The sequence below is a fragment of the Homo sapiens genome, chromosome 16, assembly GCF_000001405.40.
Source record: "Homo sapiens chromosome 16, GRCh38.p14 Primary Assembly".
Lineage (NCBI taxonomy): Eukaryota > Metazoa > Chordata > Mammalia > Primates > Hominidae > Homo > Homo sapiens.
Genome location: NC_000016.10, coordinates 77,896,097 through 77,921,624, shown reverse-complemented (window position 1 = coordinate 77,921,624; position 25,528 = coordinate 77,896,097). Strand labels below are relative to the sequence as shown.

At 43.1% G+C, this 25,528-nt stretch overlaps 1 protein-coding gene across 1 annotated transcript in view, besides 1 other annotated feature; it reads right to left on the bottom strand.

Annotated features, from left to right (window-relative positions):
• VAT1L (vesicle amine transport 1 like) overlaps positions 1-25,528 on the bottom strand; it is a 191,544-nt gene that overhangs the window by 58,483 nt on the left and 107,533 nt on the right. The gene's annotated exons all lie outside the window — the stretch shown is intronic.
• Positions 2,060-2,559: an enhancer, noted in NCBI's record as "H3K4me1 hESC enhancer chr16:77952963-77953462 (GRCh37/hg19 assembly coordinates)". NCBI's record gives its function as "activates a minimal SCP1, AML or CMV promoter by ChIP-STARR-seq in primed H9 embryonic stem cells {active_cell/tissue: H9 hESC(primed)}" and the evidence as "EXISTENCE:reporter gene assay evidence [ECO:0000049][PMID:30033119]".

Genomic DNA, 25,528 nt, shown 5'->3' with positions numbered 1-25,528 from the left:
AAATTAAGTCACAGGTAAGAGGAACAGATAAAATAGATACGAAAGGTCCTGCATAGGTTTACAGGAGAGTGCATATCTGACTTCCACAGCCGATGCAAAAATAGGAATGTAACTAATTAAAGGATCTGTGGTCCCCAGAAGATCAGAACAAACACATTTCTCAAGAGAAATAGTTTTCTCTCCCACTGGATGTATTTCTTCCATGGGTTCTCCTAAAGGAGAGTCACTTCCATGGATAAAGTTATCAAGCACCCGTATGAGATACACAATAGAGCTGCTTCTTAATGCAACACGTCTCAGTGCAAACATAGGGGAATGTCAACATATTGTTCAGTAAAAGCAATTCCATGAGGAGTCAGAGGAATAGTCCCGATTTACAGTGTTCTTGGGCTATGGCTTATTCCAGCTGGAAAGAAAGACTGGCTTGCTTCCTTGCCCAGCCCCATGATGCTATTCCTGTCAGTAATGGCCCTTCTTACCATTAAGATAAGATTTGGCATCAGAGTCCTTGTGCAAACAGATTTCCAGGTAGCCCTTCGAGGCAATGAAACTGGCAAATGAGATAAAGCTGATTTGCCACTGCTGATCTAATGAAATGGATATTTGTGTTAACTTCTGATGAATTATCTACATGTATGTATGTATGTGTGTGTGTGTATATATGCACATACACACTACACACACACACACACACACAGTCATATGACACCTAATGATGAGGATACATTCTGAGAAATGCATGGTTAGGGGGTTTTGTTATTGTGTGAACATCATAGAGTGAACTTACACAAACCTTGACGGTATAGCCTACCATACACCTAGGCCGTATGGTACAGTTTATTGCTCCTAGACTACAAATCTGTACAGCATGTTACTGGACTGAATACTGTAAGCAATTGTAACCCAATGGTAAGCATGTATCTAAACACATCAACATACAAAAGGTACAGTAAAAATATGGTATTAGAATTTTATGGGATCACTGTCTTAAGCAAACGTCTGTGGACTGAAATGTCATTATACAGAGCATGACTATATCCACACACATTTATATATTATATACATTCATATACATATATTGACATATGAACACATACATATTTCGATATTCAGTCTTCTAAGTATAATTCAGGGGGTGTTTTCAAATGCTGATGAGGTGTGTGGAGTTGTTTTGTTCCTACTAAAAATGGCAGCTATGTGTCGCTGAGTCCTTGAGAGGGCATTTTGGAGGTCTCATCTGCTTCCTTCTCCTGCATTGCTGGGATACAGGCTATCACTTCTGGCAGTTTTAAATGGACCTGCCTCTATCAGTTTCCTCCACCTTTTGAACATTCGTAACTCACACCAGATCAGATTAGACACAGCCAAGATTTGCAATGGCCAGACTTGAATGAAAAGCAAAAGTTTCCAGGGACTGACTAGGTCCTGTTTGAATGGGTGAATGCTTGGCAGCTCTGTGCAATCCTTACAGCAATCACTTTGCTTTTCCTTCTGGAATTTTGTTTGTATCCGGATACGGTTTGATTTTATTTATTTATTTTTTTTTGGACAGAGTCTTTGTAGCCCAGGCTGGAGTGCAGGGGCACCATCTTGACTCACTGCAATCTCTGCCTCTCAGGTTCAAGCAATTCTCGTATGTCAGACTCTCAAGAGGCTGGGATTACAGGCACCCACCACCATACTCGGCTATTTATTTATTTAGTAGAGATGGGGTTTCACATGTTAGCCAGGCTGGCCTCAAACTCCTGACCGCAAGTGATCTGCCTCCCTTGGCCTCCCAAAGTGCTGGGATTGCAGGTGTGAGCTACCACGCCCGGCCAAGGTTTGTTTTTTAGATAAATGAGATATACTGAACCTTTATTAATAGTAATAGGTATCTCTTGCTCTGTGAATTCTGAATTTCTGAATTCTTGCTCTGCAAACTCAGGAGCTAAGGGCATTTAGAAAGCGAGGGATATTTTGTAATTTCTTTGTCCTTCTCTATCACAGTCATCTCTCCTCTATTTCACACATTGACTCACTCATCTGCATGAGAGCCACCAATTGAAAAAATGGGATCTGAGAAGGCAGTTCAGACTCGCTCAGTAACGCTTGCAAATTCCCACATCATTCATCCTACCCCAGCTCTCTTAAGCAGGGAAGCGGGTGGTGTTTTTCAGTTCCATGTATCTCTACCTCTAATTAATTTTAAATAGGCTGCCTGGCAACACTGTTGCTGAACACTTCACATTCCAGCTCCAGCTTCTATTTCTGTTAATTGGAGAATGTTTTGTTTCAACTAATCAGTCCAGCATCCTTTCCAATCAAAACAGCATCCTGGTCTAGGCACAACACCTGTCAATGAAAGGCACCGGTCTGGTTTGCAAATCAGGAAGCACAAGGGGCTCTCTGTTTTCCCCTGGACACCTAGGTTGCAGAGAAAGCTGCTGAAACACACACACACATGCACATGCACACATGCGTGCACACACATGCATGCACACACATGCACACACACACACCCTCAAAACTCCAGAAGGACTTTCAGCCTTTCATTAGTGCCTAGTTGGATTCAATGCACTTCCTCTCCCCTATTGGCACAGCCTCTACTGCAGAATGCCTCAGCACTGTTTACATAGCCACGACTCTCTTGAATAAACAAGAAGCTAGATAGGAAGGAATGATGGATGGTGCCTGCTTCCTGAGCAACTTAATTTTAACTAATAGCCATGGTAAGCTCAGGAGAGAGAGAACTTATTCTACTGAACAAACATTTACTGGGAGCCTATCTTAGGCTGGGTGTTCTGCTATGCGTTCTGAACCTTGAGATCAATAAGGGAAGGCTCCTTCCTCCAGGGAGCTCAGAGTTGGAAGGAGGAGAAAAATGGGCAAAGTAAGATTTAGGAATGATCAGCTTGGGAGGGCTGATGCATTCATTGCCTTTCCATATTAAACTTACAGTTTCCGGGATGAAGCTGGATATTGAGAACCAATTGGAAGATGGTATTTTTCCATCCTCCTTACAGCATGGATCAGCCAAATGGGTCGCACCCTCCCAGCAGACACTGGGGCCTGACATTCTAGTGTTGATCACAGCGACATGAGGAGAGCAAGGGTTGAGGAAGGGGACAAGGAGGGAGGGAGACAGGTGGCCAGTGAAGGAGTCTAACGGCAGGATGATGGTGGGTGGAATTACAGCAGGCCCTGTGGAATGAAGAGAAAGGACTAGATTCAAGAGACTTTTGGGGGGAAGAAGGAAAGATATATGTGTTTGAATATGTGCCTGCTGAGGAGAACTTTCTACCTTGGTTTCCTGCACGGATGGTAGCACCATTAATTGGGATGTAATAAGAAAAATGTTTCTAAATCTTTGAATCAGTACTTAGCTTATTGGGCTCACTGTATCACCTTTTCCTGGCCTCTGAGACACCACAGAATAAACAGCTTGCTGGGCCAGCTGGTGAGTGTCAGTGAGAGAAACTTCCAGTTTCTTGAGCCAATTAGCAAGTTCCTTAATGCCTTTAATTTGCATCCCGACACCTCCCCATTCACACATTTATTGGATATGGAATTCTTCAAACTGTTTCTTTTTGATAGAAAAGATTCAGGCTGTGTCTCTGCTCTTTCTTTCCCTATTTCCCTGCCTAGTTGGGGGACGAATAATTGATGTTTTCCTAGGGTGAAGGGAAGGGGCAGCCCAGACCTTGAGAGTCTTGCATATACAGAACTTCAGTGTCTGGCTTCAACTGATTTCCATCTCTGGGGCTCCCCTAAGCAAAGACCAGGGAGGTCTGGGGATTCAGAATCCTTGTAAATCATGTATCTTCCCCTCAAAGGCAGAAGAAATCATACACTCTCCTTATTCCTCTTTAGTGTACTTTGGTAATAATCTCTCTTACATTCTCTGGAATTTACTGGAACCAGAAAGGCAAGGCAGCAGAGTGGAGGGAACCTTAGATTATTCAGATAGAATCTTAATCGCTACTCCATCCTCTACCAGTTCTTTCGAGTCTCCGTTTTCTTATCTGTAGCCCTGTAAACTGGCTATTAATGGCAGCTACAAACAAATCAAAACATAAAGAAACTATGGTTTATTCTCTGAGCTGAATGAAAAAGTGCTTTCTTAATTGCAATGATTTGAAGTTGAACAGGAATCATTGGGACTGAATTAGGATGAATTTAATTATCTCTGTTACATTTGCACTGAAACCTGAGTTCCTTTAGCAATTTTTATTTTTCAATATTAAAGGTAATGTGGTTAAGGGCAGTACTTTAATAAAAGGTAATTTCCGGGAAATTATGGAGCACAGCTATGCCTTTCCACATAATGGCTACATCTTAGAGCTCAGGATGGCTTGCCCCTTCCTTTTTCGTTGCTTCCAATTTTTCTCCCCTTCTGGTCCTACCTCCTGTCTCTTGTCTTACTGCTAACTGGGAAGATGAGCTTAGATTTCTTTTTCTCCCCTCTTATCGTCTCTCTAGATTGGTCTTCAATTAATGAAGTGAGGCTTTCATGGTGACTCTGAGAATCTAGCTTATATTTCAGAGGCTCCATTAGGCCAAGGGACAAATTAACTCAACAATATCTCTTATCTAAATCCTTCAAGTGCTGGTGGATGAATAATAAACTTTGATCACCGAAGTAATACACAAAGATGATTTTTTTAGAAGTCAAAACAATGTCTATTAGAACTCCCAACTGGCATGGCTGTTGCTGTGAAAATGACTAATATTACCATGAGTGCAATCGCTACTAATCAGAGGGCACTCTTTGCCAACAACAAAGTGGGAGAATGACAGGGGTTGCTTTGAAGATGTGTCTGACTTAGGAAAAAAAAAAAAAAAAGAGCAAAGCGCAGTGTAGTATAAGGAGGCTCCCTGTAGGAGTAAATTTAAAAAGCAATGACAAAAGACGATTCCAGCATAGATTCTTTAGAGAACCTCATTCTTTCTTTGACATTCTATAGGTGATAAAAATAACAAAATAACAATTTACAAAACGCTCTTATGTATATTTTTAACGCTCAGAACAACTTAATGGGAGCAAAGCACAATGTTGCAAGCCTGTAGTCCCAGCGACTGGGGAGAATTGCTTGAGGCCAAGAGTTTGAGACCAGCCTGGTCAACATATTAAGACTCCATCTCTAAAACAACAAATAAACAAAAATTAAAAACAAAAACAAAAAACCCAGTGGAGAGAGAGTAGTAATATTCCTGTTTTACAAAAGCGGAGAAGACAAGAGCTTCACAACGATACAGCTACTTCGTGGCTCAGGTAGGGCCTGAATTCTGATCTTCTGAACCTGAGCCCCTTGCGCCATACCATGTTGTAAGGACGCTGTTGCAGGGAGAGTTCTAGAGGAGGCAGCATTTCCAAGGACACTTCTTTGCTCAAGAACACACAGTGAGTCCCCACTGTTGAGTGCACGAAACCCAAACTGACTTCCAGGAATTACAGCAGAGGTTGTGATTTCCCTGCCCTTGGCCCCCTTTCGTACAGACCCTACCGTGCTACTACCCCCATTTCTTCGTCTGAAGGCTTTCTCTTGCTGATGCTGCCTGCACAGCAGGCCAGAAGTGCCAGGGAATTAATGTTCCGCATTCCCAGAACAGCTCTCAATGAATGACTTTTGGGAGTTGATGCTTAAGTATGCCAGCTCCTCATCCGAGCTGGGTGTTGTGCACTGCTTCTCATAGCGCCCCAGTAGGATTAGCCTTCATTTACCCACAGGAGTAGCTGGCTTGACAATGCACTTCGCAGGAGTTGTCTTCCCTTCCTCGTCTAACTTTCCCATCTCTTCCACCAGTGTGTTCTGGGGTCCCAAATACACATCTTGTATATGATTCTCTGTCTCAGGGTCAGCTGCTGCTTTGTGAGACCCTCTATCTGGCTCCGTCTTCTAGCCAACCTCACTTGCCATTAGTTCTCCATTGGTTCATTCATTCCCACAGGCTTGGTCTTGCAATTGCTGTAGTGATGGAACACCAACAACAGGGCCTCCTGCCTCTAGGCCTTTCCTTATGCAGTTTTAACCCATGCACTTCCTTCAAGGTTTTGCTCAAGTCCCACTCCTCTGGGGAAGCCTTCTTGGTGACTCACAAATAGGTAGACCAACTCACAGGCCTTCTGTGACATTTCCCTACACTAAACAATGTCATATACTGCCTTGTCCTCTAATTCTTATTTTATCCATACCATTTGTTTCCCCCCAGATGGACTCTAAACATCTGTGTATCAAGATCATGCTCACAGCCACTGGTGTGCAGATAAATGTTTAATAACTGACTCTCTGAAAAAATCCGTATATGCATACATTTATGATAATTTTTTACTGACATAGAGGATGTGTAGTACACAATTTACGAATGGTAATAAAAATATACAATACTCTTTACTGTAAAGCCTATGTAGTCTGTTTCCAGAGAATGCTTTTGTTGAGTTTTGCCAATCTATGGTTACGATTCAATCACAATTTGACAAATTGAGTTGCATTCCAATCCAACAACTCTTTTTTTTTTTGAGACGGAATTTTGCTCTTGTCACCCAGGCTGGAGTGCAATGGCACAATCTCGGCTCACCGCAACCTCCGCCTCCCGGGTTCAAGCGATTCTCCTGCCTCAGCCTCCCGAGTAGCTGGGATTACAGACATGTGCCACTAGGCCTGGCTAATTTTGTATTTTTAGTAGAGACGGGGTTTCTCCATGTTGGTCAGGCTGGTCTCGAACTCCCGACCTCAGGTGATCCGCCTGCCTTAGTCTCCCAAAGTGCTGGGATTACAGGCGTGAACCACCGTGTCCGGCCCATCAACTCTTTACCCAATCAATCTGGTGTTATTAAATCTGATATGTGACTGATATTTGATCTATGATAACACTATTTCTTACCATCATACAAATTTCATTCAATGAACTGTAACCTCTTTCAGCTTCAATAACCGGCCCAACAACTCTTTACCCAATCAATTTGGTGTTATTAAATCTGATACGTGACTGATAACTGATCTATGGTAACACTCTTTCTTACCATCATACAAATTTCATTCAATGAACTGTAACCTCTTTCAGCTTCAGTAATATACGTGGTGTATTTTCAAGTTTAATTTGCGTTATTTACATTTTTTTCCATTACTTTCTTTCATCTACACAATAAACCAAGTGATAAATCAAGCCCGGATTGTAGCGTTTGCTGATTTCTTTGGTGTGAATGCTCACACCATGGCTGATTTTCAAATTACCAAAATGACATAACTGAAAGTGGGGTTGGGACACAATGCATGGTAATGCTATTTTATAGTACTCCACCATACAGGTACAATGAATGCATACAACCTCAAAAGCATAGATAGCCAAATGAGAATATAACTAAAAAGTTGTAAGTTATAAATGATTATTCCATTTGTTTTTAATACATATTTTAAATCATTAGTTTATATAATTTAATAACTATAATAGTTTTGTTGAATGACTGGCTCACAAAATTCCTGATTATTTAACAATTGGCTCTTGTGAGCTGGTATGAGCCAGCTCCAGCATACGCTGCATCTATTTTGTAATTCAGATTGTCTAATGTGATTCTGGGCTGCAGTAAAAGCTCTCTGAATACTTGCTGTGTGAGTGAGTGGCTTTGGTTTTCAAAAGAACAGATGACCAAAGAGCTTGAGAAAATAAGGCAGCCTTCAGGCATTTTATCAGTCAATGTTGTTGCTGAATAAGAGCCTCTCTACCAAGAGGGAGCCCTGCATATCCTCATGAGGTTCGTAGAGTTGGTCCTGGCTCTTTCACCTCCCCTAACTTACATCCCCAAATTTATTGTATTTTTATGTCCTAATTCTATGTCTGACTAGGATCTTAAACTTACTGTTTATATCTGATGTCCAATATTGTCTTAGGCAGCTCCTGGCCTTTGTTACAATACACATTTATGCATAGACTGTCCCCCTCCAACCATGTCAAAGAATAACCTGGCCCAGTCCAGATGCCAACATGTCCCAGAGTGGAGTCCCAAGGACGGAGCCCTGGGACATTGCAAGATAAAGCGGTCAAGGAGAAGAACCAACAATGGAGACTAACAAGCAAGGAAGGGCATCCTAGAAGCCAACTGAAGGAAGCATCATAGTAGAGGGAGGGGGGTCTCTGTATCAAGATGATGAGGATCGAGAGCTGATCACTGGATTTAACTTTGTTGGGGGAGGGGGGTCCCTGTTGACTTTGACAAGAGTGGGTTTGGTAGAATGTGGGGGCAGGAGTTTGCTTGGACTAAATTTAAATGAGAATAGAAGGAAAGAATTAGAGACAAAAAGCATAGACAACTCCAATGGGTATAGAGTTTTAGAGTTGCAAGACAAAAACGTTACAGAGATGTGTTATATAATATTGTGTATATAGTTAACAGTGTGCTATACACTTAAAAATTTAAGACAGTACGTTTATGTGTTTTTGCCACAATAAAAATATTACTTTCAAATGAAATTAAAATTAAATCATTTAATCCAAATAAAGCATAGACAACTCTTTCTAAATGTTTTGTAGCAAAGGGGATCGGAGAAACAGCAAAAGCTGCTATAGACTGAATGCCTATGACCCCACCCCCGCAAATGCATATGTTGAAGCCGTAACACCTGATGTGATGGTATTAGGGGGTGAGGCCTTTGGGAGGGCGTTAAGTTTAGATAAAGTAATGAGGATGAAGCCTTCGAGATGGGATTGATGCCCTTAGAAGAAGAAGAAGAAAAACCATAACTTCCTGTCTCTGCCATATGAGGAAGCAGTGAGAAGACGGCCATCTACAGGCCAAGAAGAGAGCCCTCACCAAGCACAAAATCTGCTAGTACCTTGATCTTGAACTTGCGAGCCTCCAGAACTGTGGGAAAGAAACATCTGCTGTTTAAGCACACAGTCTTTGTTTTTTTGTTCAAGCATCTTGAGCAGACTAAGGCAATAGCTATCAGGTGGGGTGAGGTCAAGAGATACTTTACAATAGGAGAAATAGCAACATGTTTGCCTTGCCAGTGAGAATAAGCCAGTTGAAATTGGATGCTATGTTTAATTTTTAAAATTTCATTCTATTGTAAAAAATAATAATAATAAACATAAAGTAGATTTTGGGAGGCCAAGGAGGGAGGACCGCTTGAGCCTGGGAGGTTGAGGCTGCAGTGAGCCGTGACCATGTCACTGCACTCCAGCCTGGGTGCAGAAAAAAAACAAGGTAGACTTGTATAATGAACCACCTTGTCCCCATTCACTCAGCCTCAACCATTATTAACATTTTCCCATTTCTGTTGTGTTTTTCATCATGTTATTTTGTTTATTGAACTCATATTATATGAAAGACTCAATCCCAGGCGCTTTACTTATGTTAACTTCACCCCTACCTTGATGGTATCTTGCTGAGGGTGATCAACCCCACTTTACTGATAAGGCAACTGATGTTGAAAACAACTAAAGAGAACTCACTTATGCTGGGAAGTGGTAGAGTCAGGACTTTAACTCAGGCTTGACTCTTTCTAGGCAGCTCATGGTAAAATGTAGGCATTCTGTAAATGTGTACTGAATGTTTGTCTTTCTACTATGTCACACTGCCTTAGAGGAACTGAAGAGGTATGGTGGGCCCACCCCTTATATTGTGGGGTCCAAGATGAGACTACAAAGAGTACAAATGTGGGCCCATGTGTCATATGTCTAAATATTCAGTGGACATAAATCAACCTAACATACCGTCAGTTTGTTTTAAGTGAACTATTTCTATCCTCCTCCCTTGACAAATACACCATCATCAAGCCCAGGAGGACCAGGTTCCCATTTGGAATTCTCATCCTCCCGAGTTCTATGCCAGAGGTGGGGAGTGAGGACAGCTGACCCCACTCCCTGGGGAGTCCCTTTCTTCATATCTCAGCCCCATCCATCCCCTTGGGGTGCCTTGTGTACACTCGTGTGGACCCAGAGTCTGCACGTGCAAGCTCCTTCCCCACCTCCCACAAACAGCCACTCCTCAGGCTTTGGGAAGTGCAATCTGGTGGCACATTTGACCCACAGGAGGATGGCCTAGAAAAGAAGCTTGTGAAGACACTGCAAGAGGGCTCAGGGCCATTTGGTCAGGGGATGCTGAAGTCTTGGATAGGCCTATATCCTCTTGGCCTTGTAGAATAGCAAGGGTGAGGCCGAGGGAGGGTCCATATAGGGTCCTATGAAGCCCAGGGCCTTGGGCAGGGGCCTGTTTTTATGAATTTAAGAGAAGTACTGAATCCTTAGTACCCCACAGGACACTATGCCACAGGATGAGAAGGTCTGGTCTCCCCAGGGCTGATAGTAGGGGAAAATGATCAAGTAATTAAAGCCACCAATCACCTCATTGTTTTGCTGCTCCCTTATCATAACCAAGGACCTTGGCTGCTTACAATGTGTATTTTCCTTTTTCTTCCCAACTGGGACACTGGGATAACCAACGATATTGCACTTCTGAGATGGAGGTTATGTTTTTCATTGTGAATCAGCTAGGATTCTGGTTTGAACACTGGTCTTACTGGGTGGTACAGTTGGTGTACACTGGCAGGTTACTGCAAACCAGTTCTGGGTCCCTGCCTGTGGGATGATAGTAAATGTTTGCATGTAGTGGTTACAAGCAAGGTTGCATGGGTTCAGATCCCTGCTGTGCCACTTGTTAGCAATGTGACTCTGGGAAAGTTATTTAATCTCTCTATTCTTTTGCCTCATCTATTAAAATGGGGATAGCAATTGCATCTTATGGGGTTGTTTAAAGATGTACTGTCGTAATGCTCTTAGAATGCCTGGCATATAGCACATACTGAACAAATGTCTAATAATTATGATGATGCACTGACAGTTTTGAGAAGTAGTAGCTTAACTAATGTCAAGGAGATTTCTTTAATGCAGGGCTTCTCAGAGTCTTTTAAATGTTTTGATGCCTAGTGTATTCTTTTCTTTTCTTTTCTTTCTTTTTTTTTTTTTTTTTTTTGAGAAGGAGTCTCACTCTGTTGCCCAGGCTGGAGTGCAGTGGAGCGATCTCGGCTCAATGCAAGCTCCACCTCCCGGGTTCATGCAATTCTCCTGCCTCAGCCTCCCGAGTAGCTAGGACTGCAGGCAGCCGCCACCATGCCCTGCTAATATTTTTTGTATTTTTAGTAGAGACGGGGTTTCACCGTGTTAGCCAGGATGGTCTCGATCTCCTGACCTTGTGATTCGCCCGCCTCGGCCTCCCAAAGTGCTGGGATTACAGGCATGAGCCACCACGCCTGGCCACCTAGTGTATTCTTAGGAAGTGATACTGTATAATGAATTTCCAAACTACTAGGATTCATGTTTGTGAAACATATCCTGAGAGGCTCGTTTTTTAGCTTTAACTGGACATCTGTGAAATGTCCCTTCACGAGAAAAAGAGCAGCTGCCATTTCCCAAGTTTTCATTTTCTCTTTCCTCAAAGCAGACATGCTATCCATGCTTACACATCAGGTTCTGGGGCCCTAGCCAGAGTCTTAGGGAATCAAGTAGGACTTCAGGGATGCCTTTTTCCCTTATGAGAATAATTCATATGTTTGCAAATAATATTCCAACTCTAATTGAATTTCACCTTAAAGGGCATTCTTGTTTTCTAAAGAGAAATGAGAAGTTTCCTAAAACTGCCCTCTCTAGCAATTTGGCTGTTGTCACATTCTTGAAAAGTGGTTTCAAACTGAATTCTTCTATAGGCCTGTGGTGTTCTCGCAGGAGCCGTTCTTACGAGGCAAGAAGGGAGGGCGAGCAGGCTGGACTGGGTTGAAGGGCAGGAATGTATGCAGGCATGGAAAAATTCAGAGCCCCAGTGATGTCGGTTCAAATCCCAGGTCCTCCACTGAGCAGATATGTGATCTTGGACAAGCTCCTAAACCTCTCTGAACCGTTGCCCCCTTACCTACCAAAGTTTGATTGGTTGTGGGTAGATTGCACGAAAAGATACAGGCAGAGTGCTCAGCACTCAGTAGCTCAAGAGAAGTCTTTTTTTTTTTTTTTTTTTTTGAGACAGAGTCTCCCTCTGTCGCCCAGGCTGGAGTGCGGTGTTGCGATCTCAGCTCACTGCAACCTCTGCCTCTTGGATTCAAGTGATTCTCCTGCCTCAGCCTCCCAAGTAGCTGGGATTAGAGGCACACACCACCACGCCTGGCTACTTTTTGTATTTTTAGTAGAGACAGGGTTTCACCATGTTGGCCAGGCTGGTCTCGAACTCCTGACCTCAAGGTATCTGCCTGCCTAGGCCTCCCAACATGCTGGGATTACAGGCATGAGCCACTGCACCTGCCAAGAAATCTTTATAATCCTTACTGCAGAGAGGCAAGGAAAAGAAGTGCAGAGGAGGTAAGATTTAGAAGAAATATATAGCTTATGACAGAATATCATCACCTAATTTTCAAAAGCTGTTTAAGTTTTTGTCTTTCATGTCTTACTGTGTGACTTCAGGCAAGCGACTTTACTCCTCTGTGCCTCATTTTCTTCTGTAATCCATAGGGATAAATAATAACATCTACTTCTCATGGTTATTGTGAGGATTAAATGAAATACAGCCCTTATAAAATGTTTAGGACAGTGTCCAGTACATGGTCAATGCTCAATGTGTGTTGATTATTATCATCATTGCTGTATGTTATTGTCATATTATTATCATCCTTTGTCCACATCCCCCTGCTTCTCTCTTTCCTCCTACTCAATTCCACTCTCCTTTTCCTGTCTTTTTATTTTGTTTTTAAGACGGGGTCTTGCTCTGTCGCCCAGGCTGGAGTGCAGTAGCGCCATCTCGGTTCACTGCAAGCTCCGCCTCCCGGGTTCACGCCGTGCTCCTGCCTCAGCCTCCCAAGTAGCTGGGACTGCAGGTGCCTGCCACCACGTCCGGCTAATTTTTTGTATTTTTAGTAGAGACGGGTTTCGCTGTGTTAGCCAGGATGGTCTCAATCGCCTGACCTTGTGATCTGCCCATCTCGGCCTCCCAAAGAGCTGAGATTACGGGCGTGAGTCACCGCGCCCGGCCTCCTTTTCCTGTCTTGAGCCACTGACAGGTCATGGCGATCCTACAATGAGCACCTCTTCTTCTGCAGCTTCGGGAAGTGTTCTTGGCTTTTTCTGAACTCCAACAGGGCCTATTATCTGTAATCATGAAGAGGCTTGTGATGGCTTTTTTTTTTTTTTTTTTTTTTTTTGAGACAGAACCTGGTTCTTGTCCCCCAGCCTGGAGGGCAGTGGCGCTATCTCGGCTCACTGCAACCTCTGCCTCCTGAATTCAAGCAAGATTCTCCTGCCTCAGCCTCCCAAGTAGCAGGGATTACAGGCACTCACCACCACGTGTGGCTAATTTTTTTGTAATTCTCATAGAGACGGAATTTCACCATGTCAGTCAGGCTGGTCTTGAACTTTTTTTTTTTTTTTGAGACAGAGTCTCACTCTGTCACCCAGGCTGGAGTGCAGTGGTGCCATCTCGGCTCACTGCAAGCTCCACCTCCCGGGTTCACGCCATTCTCCTGCCTCACCCTCCCGAGTAGCTGGGACTACAGGCGTCCGCCACCACACCCGGCTGATTTTTGTATTTTTAGTAGAGACGGGGTTTCACCATGTTAGCCAGGATGGTCTCAATCTCCTGACCTGGTGATCCACTTGCCTCGGGTTCCCAAAGTGCTGGGATTACAGGCGTGAGCCCCCGTGTCCAGCCCTTTTGATGGCTTTTCTATCATTGCCTGAAGTGGATATTTCAATCTTTCACTGCTACTCTCTGCTTTTATTATGATTCTCTCTAAACAGGCACTAAAATGATGGATGGTGAGAAACATAGCTAAGGGCTTTTGCTTTTGATAGACCACAACTGCCTAGCTCAGGGGTAAATCTAGCACTTGACACCACTCCTCCCTGCAGGATAGGGGAGGAGGAGAACTATGAAGTTTTGGGTACTGAGCTTGTAAATTAACTGTTGGGGATATAAAACTGAACATGATGTCTACACCTGCTTTTAGAAAGCTTATAGCTTTATGGAAAATATGGACAATAAAAAAATATATCTTTGTGTTGGAAGTAATAGAGTGCTGGGGGTACATAGGAGGGACTTGAGCTGGGCATAGGGTGTCCAAGAAGTGAGAGCAAAACAGAGACCAAAAGGATTATACAGCAATGGACCTAAGGCAGGCCTGGTGCCTAGGGCTGCTGAGAGAGGTTCTGCCTGGATATTGATTTCTTTATATAGCCTCACAGCAAAAAATTCTCAATGTTCTGAGATTTTCCCCAGTTATCTTGTACCAGGTTGTCAAACACAGACATAGCCAGGGTTTCTGCACACAGGAGACCAGCAAAAGTGAGCTCTGTGCCTGGTGGAATCTGCCCTTCAGGCCATCGTATTGTCAGCCAACTCTGTGGAACTGGAGTCCAGGGAATACGTATGGGGCACTGACTCCGATAGCTGATTGTGCACATCTCTTCCCACTTCTGTATTCAGTGATGTCATGTTGATAACCCGCTATTGGTCACGATGGGAGTATTTACAGCGTGGAAATTGGCCAATGCTACACAGCAGGGCTTTTTTTCCCCCGCTAGGGCTGGTTGTTAAAATATTTAATATTTACCAGCATTTCACTGTGTAGACCTCTAATTGGGAGTTTTCTCTGCTGCCTCCTGCAAGATGTAACCAACTTCATAGGTCCCTATATCTTATCCCATGAAAGAAATTGAATCCACTGTATTGAACACCTCTTCTACATCACTTTAAATCTTCTGGGCCCCTTTATACCCTAGCTGCTGTTGCCAGGGCCAGATCCACACAGACTTTGATCAACTTCTTGCATGTGGAAGATGGCAGTTCCTTGGGCCCTGCCTTTAGCTCTGCTTCACCCAGAGGTAGCTCTGATGTGAGAGAGGGCAGCCCACTCACATGCACAACCCTAAAATACTGGGAGTTGGTGCTTTGGAGCCACCCTTGACTAATGGGGAGTGACCGTTCCCCCCTTAGTTTTTCAGGAAGACAGTTTTGAGTTGCATTTCCGTAGTTTCCCCAGGGATTGGGATCAAACACCAGTCACTCACAGCAGTAGCTGCCTTTGATAACCCATCCTTCCTTCATTTTCCAGATGCTCTTCTTCTCCCTCACTTTTTCTCTCTGGGATCATTTCTCAAATAAGTTCCTGCACATAAGTCTGTATCCCAGGCTCTGATTTGAGGCGATCCCAAACTAAGTGTTGACATCTGTCCATCAATCGTATGACTGTCCTATTGTGCAAGTCACAGTGTAAAATGGTAAGTATGCTGGTGATGGAGAACCAGGTCAAGCACAACATCGTCTTTGAAGCTTTGCCTGGTTTTCCCCAGACCTGGTGATGTTTTGCTTCCAAAGGAGCTCTGAAAGCCGTCTCCACATTGCACTGTAATTATCAAATGAGTTTAAACATCAAATCTCTCTCCCTCCAGGCTCTCAACATTAAAACAAAGGGGCTTTGCTGTCCTCACCTTACAACATCCCCTAGCACAGAGTAAGTGACAAACTTTTTGATGAGTGAATAAAGAAGGTACTTTAAAGAACTTTTAAGCACATCTGGGAAGAACCATTAATTCAACACTCATTACTGGGGGGACAGTGGTGAAATGAGTTCCTGATGTGAGCCAAGGCCTTCCAAAATTCATGAGCGATGGTGAGGGGAACCTCAAACATCAAAGAAGGTTTGAGTAAAGAAACCTAAAAAAATTAGTCAAGGAAAAGTAAAAAATTAAGTCTGGAGTAAATATAAGCGTAAACCTCCTAGATCTGACAGAACGCTTGGAATGTCAGGGAGAGATGCAGTAGCTATTGACTCTTTTTAGTGACTATTTTTTAGAACCATGTTTCTCAACACTGCAGGCCTATGATAAGCTTATAAACGCTTCAGAGGACGCACAAACACAGGTGATGAAAGTCAGAGACAGTGAGTCATATTTGCAAAGCAAATAACGTATGATGCTGTAACACAACAAACCTACACTGCAGCTAATGATATAAACAGAATAATGATGCAGGGAAGGCTGCCAACCTAGAAAATAAAACAAGGAACATCAACTTGTGAATAATGGTACAACAGAGGACACTTAAAAACAGCAGCTAGGTGGAAACCAGAAGCAGGAAAACAATCACATAAAAATGGATCTGAACAGAAAAATGATCTCAGCAGGGGTGGCGAGGCTACTCTATGTTTGCACTCAGAAGGTGCCTTCAGGGAACTTCTGAAAAAACCTCCCTGTCAAATTTTTAAGTGTAAAAAGTAAGGTTGGAATCTCGGCAAACAGAAGAGGTCAGCAGCGAGAATAACTTCAGGCATCTCCTCTCAGCTACTGCTTTTTCTTTCTTGATTTTGCTTCAAATTCTTTTCTTCTTTGAAGAAAATCAAGCCATGCCAACAAACGTAATGTTTTCATTTTTCTTTTAGCCATAGGAAAATTATTGCAAGATTTGGTGCATCTAAAACATTCAATTTTCTTTACAGGTTGCCAACAAGAGACATACAAATAATGCCCAATATATTGATAGAGAGGGGATGTTTTATAAGGGTCTTTCATAACCACATTAGTCAGATTTGAATTCCTCTTACTTGACACCAGTATTTCCTAGGAACCTCTCTCCTTGTTGAGCGTGGAACACTGTATTTTAATCATTGGTTTACATTTCTCCTTTACCACCAGTTGTTTTTTTCCTTGAGGTATTTTGATTTTCTAACTCTTCATGGCCTTGTCCCAGGCTTGGTAAATAGTAGGTGTTAAATGAAGAGAAGTAGGCTTACAAATGAATGAAAACAATGAAGTGCAACCATGTGTCAATTGAAAAAAAATTTTTCTTACATAAAAATATGGATTAAGGAAGGAATCCATATGTTGCCCAAACAATATTTAAAGCACATTTCTTGGCCCAAAGTTCTTATATTAGTTAGAAAAGTAAGAATGCTCTAAATCTCTCCCTAGGGAATATAGGAAGTGTTATAGATTGAACGATTGTTCTCCCTAATTTCACGTTTAAGCCCTGAACCCCAATGCAATGGTTAGAGTATTTGGAGATGGAGGCTTTGGGAGGCACTTAGGGATTAGATGAGGTCATAACGGCAGGCCCCCATGATGGGATTAGTGCCCTTATAAGAAGAGACTCCACAGAGTGGGGACCGCGTGAGGACACAGTGAGAGGGTGGCTGTCCACAAGCCAGAGACAGCCCTTACCAGGAACCAAATTAGCTGACACCTTGATCTTGAAATTCCCAGTCTCCAAAACTAAGAAGCAAATCTCTATTGTTTAAGCCACTCAGTCTTTGATATTTTGTTATGGCAGCCTGGAAAGACTAATACAGGATGGAAATAAAGCAATAAACAAAAAATCATGTTAAAATTAAAAGCTGTTGTAAAAAAAGCAGGATATGAATGAAACCTCAGAACAGACAAACCACATGGATACACCAATGGTGCCTTTAATGGAAAAAAAAAAAAAAAAGCAAATCAGTAACACCAAGAATAAGATAGAGTGGTGTAAAATAATACAGAAGCGTTTCTCTTTTGATGGGGGAATATGGTTATTCCTTTTGGGTTATTAGGCTGGTGCCAAAGTCATTGTGGTTTTTGCCGTTAAAAGTAATGACAGAGGGCCAGGCACAGTGGCTCATACCTGTAATCTCAGAACTTTGGGAGGCTGAGGCGAGCGGATCACAAGGTCATGAGATCGAGACCATCCTTGCTAACATGGTGAAACCCTGTCTTTACTAAAAATACAAAAAATTAGCTGGGCGTGGTGGTGGACGCCTGTAGTCCCAGCTACTCGGGAGGCTGAGGCAGGAGAATGGCATGAACCCAGGAGGCGGAGCTTGCAGTGAGCCGAGATCACGCCACTGCACTCCAGCCTGGGTGACAGAATAAGACTCTGTCTCAAAAAAAAAAAAAAAAAAAAGTAATGAGAGAAACCGCAATTACTTTGGCACCAACCTAATAATTTTAAAATCACGTGGCATTGAATAATTATTTCTAAAAATAGAAAACACCCAAGGCGATCTCCAAATCAGAATTTCCAAGTCTAGATAGGGTGGTTGTACCCAATTTCTCTGTAAGATATTTGGGCCTGTGATTTTTCCATTTTTGTACACCCTGGTCCAGTCCAATGCTTGGCTTAGAATAAGTCTTCAGTAACTAGTAGTGCTATTATTATTTTTAGTATCTATTATAGGTGTTATGTATATTAATTTTCACCCTCAGAAACTAAGGATCAGGAAGACTGTATTATATGAGGTACTAACTACCTGTTGCAAAGTCTATTTCCAAAATTATTTCAAGAAGCAAATGCATTTTTAAGCCTTGGACTCCAAATGAAAAAGAAAAACGAAAAGCAAATCAGAGGTAGAGCTTACATAGCGGGGGGAATATCATATTTTCTGTGTGCTTGTCATATGCTGTATCTATCGTAATTCCTCCCAAATTTACAGGTGAGAAAACTCCGGTTCAGTAAGAATAAGTTTCTTGGCGAATTCTAATTTACTAAATGAGATCTGAGACTAAACCCAGGAGATGTCTATTAAAAACAAAGATGGACTATTCTCAAGGAAATTTTTAAGAAAGGGAATGCTGCACATTAAAAGTATTATCTACTATGAGAGTGTAAGGTATAATCTTTTTATTCCTGTGTTACTTTTTTTCTTTCTTTTTTTTTTTTTTTTTTCAGACAGAGTCTCCCTCTGTGGCCCAGGCCGGAGTGCAGTGGCTCCATCTCAGCTCACTGAAATCTCAGCCGCCCGGGTTCAAGTGGTTCTGCTGCCTCAGCCTCCCAAGTAGCTGGGAATACAGGAGTGGACAACCATTCCCAGCTAGGTTTTTGTGGTATTTTTAGTAGAGATGGGGTTTCACCATGTTGGCCAGGCTAGTCTCGAACTCCTGACCTCAGGTGATCCACACCCCCCCCACCCCCCCATCGGCCTCCCAAAGTGCTGGGATTACAGGCATCAGCCACCATGCTCGGCCTTTTTATTCCATTGATTGATTGATTGATTGATCTATTTTCTTTTTAGCACTTCTTCTGGTAGGGGCCATCCTTGTACAGCTTGTTGAGGGTCTTACATTGTTTTACCAAATATAATATTGTTTGGCATTTAAATTCCCTTTTAAAGTATTTAAATTGGTTTTGATTTTAATTCTATTTTAAAGCATTTAAATTGGTTTTGATTTTAATTCTATTTTAAAGCATTTATTGGGTTAAGAAGAATACTTAGTGACTGAATAAAAAATAGCTGCTGAATTTCATCAAATGCCTTGGCATCTACCAAGATAACTACTCAATGTTTTTATGGTAATGTGATAAATTATATAAAAAACCCCATTGACTATTGTCCCTTGACATATACAGATGAGGTTAATTACTCAGAAATGAATATTACCATGCATTTCTTATTCCATCCATGGCCTTCTGCTCCTTTTTGGCTAATTAGAACCAAGGATAAAGAAAGGAATAAGATGAGCTCATCAACCAGTAATGTCTAGGGCTGTGTATGCTTTGTTTTCTAATGGAATTTTAGTAAATTATACATAAACCCAAAAAGTTTAGATTTTTAAAATGCAGCACATTGGAAGACCTGAAATAACTGGTGTTTATATTATGTGAAAACACTGCCACAAATAAATCAGAGTTAGGAAAATGGTGAATGACTTTGGGCTGAAAAACTGGCTGATAGCTTCTCTAAAATGCCTGTTAAGACAGCCACTTCCTCGGCAAACCATAAATGAGGTGAAAATTATCCTGAGAAACAGCAAGAATAAGACCACCACTGACAGTTGTTCTTGAAATTGGTATCTCTTCTTGCTCTGCCCACTTTGGTTGCGCTGGACATTGGTTAGATTATTTCAGGTTAGGGGTGAGGGTGACCCACAGTGGTTCATTTAATGTAACTTCTCTGATTGAGTGGGAGTGGGATGTTGTGCTGAGAGAGATCTGATGCCAAGTGGGATTGATTAGTGATGTCTGCCATGGGGTGTAGAAGGAAGTGCTGATGGCCTGCAAACCTGGGAGTTAGAACCACATTGTGCCTAAAGAGAAATGTATTCCACCTGCTCTGAGAGGAGACTAAGTAAGAGGCACTTGATAGGACCCAGGTAACAATTCTTTTGAATGATTCTGTGACTAACGGAGGAAAAGCAGCAAAAAATGCATTAAATACTAACTAAAAGGTAAACTATGGGCCAGGCACGGTGGCTCACGCCTGTAATCCCAGCACTTTGGGAGGCGGAGGCGGGCGGATCACAAGGTCAGGAGATCAAGACCATCCTGGCTAACACGGTGAAACCCCATCTCTACTAAAAAATACAAAAAATTAGCCGGGCATGGTGGCGGGCGCCTGTAGTTCCAGCTATCCAGGAGGCTGAGGCAGGAGAATGGCATGAACCCAGGAGGCGGAGCTTGCAGTGAGCTGAGATGTCGCCACTGCACTCCAGCCTGGGTGACAGAGCAAGACTGTCTTAAAAAAAAAAAAAAAAAAAAAAAAAAAAAAGGTAAACTACTGGTCACACACCTACCACCATCTTGTTTGTATATCTCAACATCAGCCCCACCTCGGAGCCATCTGGCTATCACTTGCTGTGTCTTCTCCCATTCCAGTCCTCATTCACCTTTTGAACTTGATGCTTGCCAACCGTGAACTTCCTCGCCCTTGCTCTGTCAATGATGCTGACCCAAAGCAAATGCCTCTTGCATTTTGCTGTGACTCTGTGTCTCTGCTTAGAAAAGCATCATAACATGCCCTTAATTTGCTCATAAAGGCTCATGAGCAGACTTGGGGCATTTATAATGACAACTGGTTGCGGGGGGAGTGGTGGTCAGAGAGGGAAAAGATGTATGGGAGTAAAGCCAGGAATGGGGTACAGTCTGACAATAACAATGGTTTTGTTTAGGGTGGCACAATTATGGGCAATATTTTTGCCTTTTTTTCTATTTTCTTTTTTTTTTTTTCAAGACACAGTCTCACTCTGCTGCTGAGGCTGGAGTGCAGTGGCGCGATTTCAGCTCACTGCAACCTCTGCCTCCCGGGTTCAAGTGATTCTCGCGCCTCAGCCTCCTAAGTAGCTGGGACTACAGGCAGCTACCACCACGCCCAGCTAATTTTTGTATTTTTAGTAGAAATGGGGTTTCACCATGTTGCCCAGGCTGGTCTCAAACTGCTGACCTAACCTGATCCCCCCCGCCTTGTCCTCCCAAAATGCTGGGATTATAGATGTGAGCCACCTTGCCCGGCCCTTTTTTCCTATTTTCTAAATGTTGTATATTGTAGTTATATATTTATATAGCTTATTTTAATTGCTATATAGAAAAAATTATGCTGGGAGAAAGGGCAAAATAAGCACATAAGCAAAGCTCACAAATACACAGATATATGCAGACACACAAATACTCATATGATCTCCGGAATAAGGAATGTGGCTTGGATTCCCAGCTCTACTACCTTGTGCAAATTACCTTACTCAGTCTATGTTTATAACACACACATATCTGTGTAATGAACATAACACCTGTCCTGCCTATCTCTGTGGTTTTACTATGGGGCTTCATCCCCACAAAGGCAAGTAAATGCTGTGCAAATAGAAGGTGTAGAGTCAGGTATAGCCTCTTTGAATTGTCACCTCTGCACTTCCAGCAAAGCCTTGCATACGGTGTAGCTTGGGAAGTAAACATGCTCATGTGGAGTATGTCCAACTGCCAAACAATAAAAATGCAATGAAATTGGAGCCTAACTAGTTGGTAATTTGTAGCCATTTGGGTGAGGCTGAAAGGGAGATGGTGAGGCTCAAGTACTGGCCTTAAAGTCAAGGGAATCTGTGCTACTACTTAGTAGAGTTGTGTGTCTTGGAGAACACATCCGCTCTCCGCATCTAGGTCTTCTTATCAACCCTGGAAAGGTTGGGTGAGCATCACGTGGTTTTCAGCTCCTGGTCATGGGAACAGAGCTCAATCACCACATCCCCATCCTCACTCAGTTGGTGTCTGTTGAGCAAACTCACTGAATGATAACACATGTGAATGTGCTAGGGAAGCTATGAAAATGACACACATTTTGGAAGGGAAGTAGAAAGGAAGAAGCAAGCTCAAGTTGTATCAAGCACCCACTCTGTGGCATTTCCATACACAGCATGCAGTTTACAGCTTACACACTGCTTGCAATAGACTTTGAAACAGGCAGGAAGAGCAAGGGTTACAGATGCAGAAAGGTTTGAGATGCAGTGTCACCTGTCTAATCACAGAAGGTAGGAACTGATGAACCAGGGTGTTCAAGCCAATCTCTCCACTGCAAATCAGGATGCCTGACGGGGCAACCAGGTTGAAGAGCTCAGGACAAAGTCATCGCCGCTCCTGGAGGGGGTTGAGGCCTTGGTGACAAGCACAGCTTCAGGAGAGAGCCAGTCTGAGAGTTGAGTTTTGGCTCCACCACTTTTTGTCTGTGTAACCTTGACCAGGTCACTTAATGCTCTAAGCCTCAGTGCCCTCATCTGTAAAATGGGGGCAATAATAGTTCTTTCCCTACAGGATTGCCATGAGTCTAGATGAGCTAATGCATGTAAAGTGCTCAGCACAGTGCCTGGCTCTGGGCAGATATCACACTGTAGCCATGATTGCTCCTTTGTCATTTGTCCATGGCTCTGCTGGCAGCTGCTCACTTAGAGTTTATTAAATGACTAACTGGAGCGTGGCACTTTCCTGGCAGAACCTCCCAAAACAAGCTAACAGTTTAGTAATCAGAGACTAGATGGTTGGAGGGTTAGAGGAATGCAAACACCAGCATGTGTTTATCATTTGTGCTGTTCAGAGCTTCTGTTCCATAAAGCAGCTCCCACAGTTGCCTTTGGAAATGAGTACAAGCACGAGGAAAGGGCACTGGTAAGCCTGTTTGCAGCACAGCAGTAGCACATCAGGGAGGAAACCAGCTCTGGGAGGTTTGACTGCAAGGTGATGGAAAGGCAGGGCCCCACCCAACCCACCCCTTCTGATCTGGTAACAGAGGCTGGCTCGTACTGGGTGCCAGGGCATGCCTTAAGCCCTGCACACACAGCCTCATGATATTTTCACAGCAACCCCACAGAGGAGGCCCTGCTATCATCTTCATTTCACAGATAGCAAAGCAAGGCTTAGGAAAGAAATGAAGCCACTCTCCTAAGAAATCACAGCTATAACTGGAGGAGGGGAGACTTGAACTTAATCTGGAGTTTGCCCTTTTAACCCTCATGCAAAATTTTATCTCTTTAGCCCTTTATAATTTGCAAGGCATCTCCCGTTTTTGATCGTATGTGACTCATAGTTTGTTATGGATATAACTGTGTCCCCCCCCTCTTTTCCAAATATTTATATGTTGAAATCCTAACTCCCAGCAACTCCATCGCAACCTTATTTAGAAATGGAGATTGTGGAGATGTAATTAGTTAAGATGAGATTATACTGAAGTAGGGTGGGCCCTAATCCAATACTAGTGTTCTTATAAAGTGGGGGAATTTTGGAGATAGATGCCCACAGAGGGAATGCCTTGTGAAGATGAAGGCAGAGATAGAGGTGATGTGCTTATAAGCCAAAGAATGCCAAAGATTGCCAGACCTAAGAGAGATGCATGAGACAGATTCCTTCATGACCCTCAGAAGGAACAGACCCTGCAGACACTTTGATCTTTACACTTCCAGCCTCCAGAACGCTGAGACAACACATTTCTGTTGTGTAAGCCCCTTGGCTTGTGGTACTTTGTTACAACAGCCCTAGCAAACTCATACACAACTGTTTTGGGAAATAAAGTCAGCTGTTCCTATTTTATAGGGGAGGAAAAGGAGGAAGAGAAAAATGAAGTGCTACAGGACAAACCACTAGGAAGTGGAAGGGTTAAGAAACCCAGTTTGGGCTGGGCGCAGTGGCTCACACCTGGAATCCCAGCACTTGGGGAGGCCGAGGCCGGTGGATCACCTGAGCTCAGGAGTTCGAGACCAGCCTGGCCAACATGGTGAAACCCCGACTCTGCTAAAAAATACAAAAATTAGCTGGGCATGGTGGCTGGCGTCGCCTGTAATCCCAGCTACTCAGGAGGCTGAGGCAGGATCATTGCTTGAACCTGGGAGGCAGAGGTTGCAGTGAGCCGAGATTGCACCATTCCACTCCAGCCTGGGTGACAAGAGTGAAACTCTGTCTCAAACACAAAACAAAAAACAAAACCAGTTTTTTGGACCAAGAATTTGCCCCCATCCAATCAGACCTGCTTCTGCACATTATAATATGCCTCGTGTCAGCAGAGTGGTTTACAGTGTACAAGAGTTCACCACATATGGACTCAGTTGATTGCACAATAATCATAAATCCTATGCAATAACAAGGAACATGGTAGTATCCCCATTTCTAATGGAGGAAACTGATGCTCAGACCGAAGTGTGGATTCCAGAGGTGGGGGTAGTGGTAATATCCACAGCATGTTTATCTGCCAGGATGTGACCTTTTACTCATGCATTATCTGATTTAAATGTACGTCCCAAGATTCAAGAATCTTGGTCTGCAGCACAGTTATCTACTTAGTCTAGCAAATAAAGAATCTGTGATTAACATATCAGTACAGATATCTTGGAAAAATCTTGAAACTGGTCCTCTGTTGCCTTTCTGCAAATAAGATATATTAAGTAATTTCTCCATCAACCTCAAAGGCAAATAGAAACTTTCCAGTCTTTGGAAACAGCAGAATCCTGGTCTGTGTCTTTTAAAACACAGCCAAGGGCAGTGTGAGTTGACTCTGTCCCTGGCTCACAAGGAAATCCAGTTTTGTGAAGTATTTTCATCTGAATGACAGGCGTAAAGGCAAGGACGAGCATTTTCTTTGTAACAGGAATGTATTCAGAGCTGAGCTCCCAGACTCCTAACAAGGAGTGCTGAGCTGTGAATAAGCCTAATTCTGCAACACGCTGGTCTCCTGGTGTAGATGAAGTTGTCTGCTTAGAACCTTGATGGGAGATGCTGCACCAGGCTGATGAAAATGCATGCCCTGAGGCCCCAGAAATCTTTCGCGGGGCATATCCTGTGTTCTCCTCCCTTGGCACCTTGCCAAGAGTCCCTGACCTCAAATATCTCCACTCTCTGGGGGAAATGCATTTGCAATGCCCTGTAATGACAGCTAATGTTGAGCACTTACTCTCTGTCAGTCATTAAGCTAAGTACCTTTTGTACATTAGGTCATTTAATCCCTCTAAATAGAAACCGAAGGAAGGTAGCGTTATTCTCTCCATTTTTCACAGGAAATTGCCCATGCACATGTCAATGAGGGAGGCAAGCCCATGGGATCTAAAAGCAGTACCTCCTAACTCAGGGTTGGGATAATGGCAAGAGGGAGGAATGGTTTTACGGAAGAGTCGACACCAGGGCTGAGTCTTAAAAGGTGACCAGGAATTTTGCAGGAGGACAAGGATGAGGGAAGGGCATGCAGGCCAAGTTAACAACTGGAACAAAGGCAGGGAGGCTCAGAGTCTCAGGTTTCTGAAAATCACAGTGGTCCAGTAAGGCCAGAGGGATGGGTATATTCCGGCGGTTGGCGGGAATTCC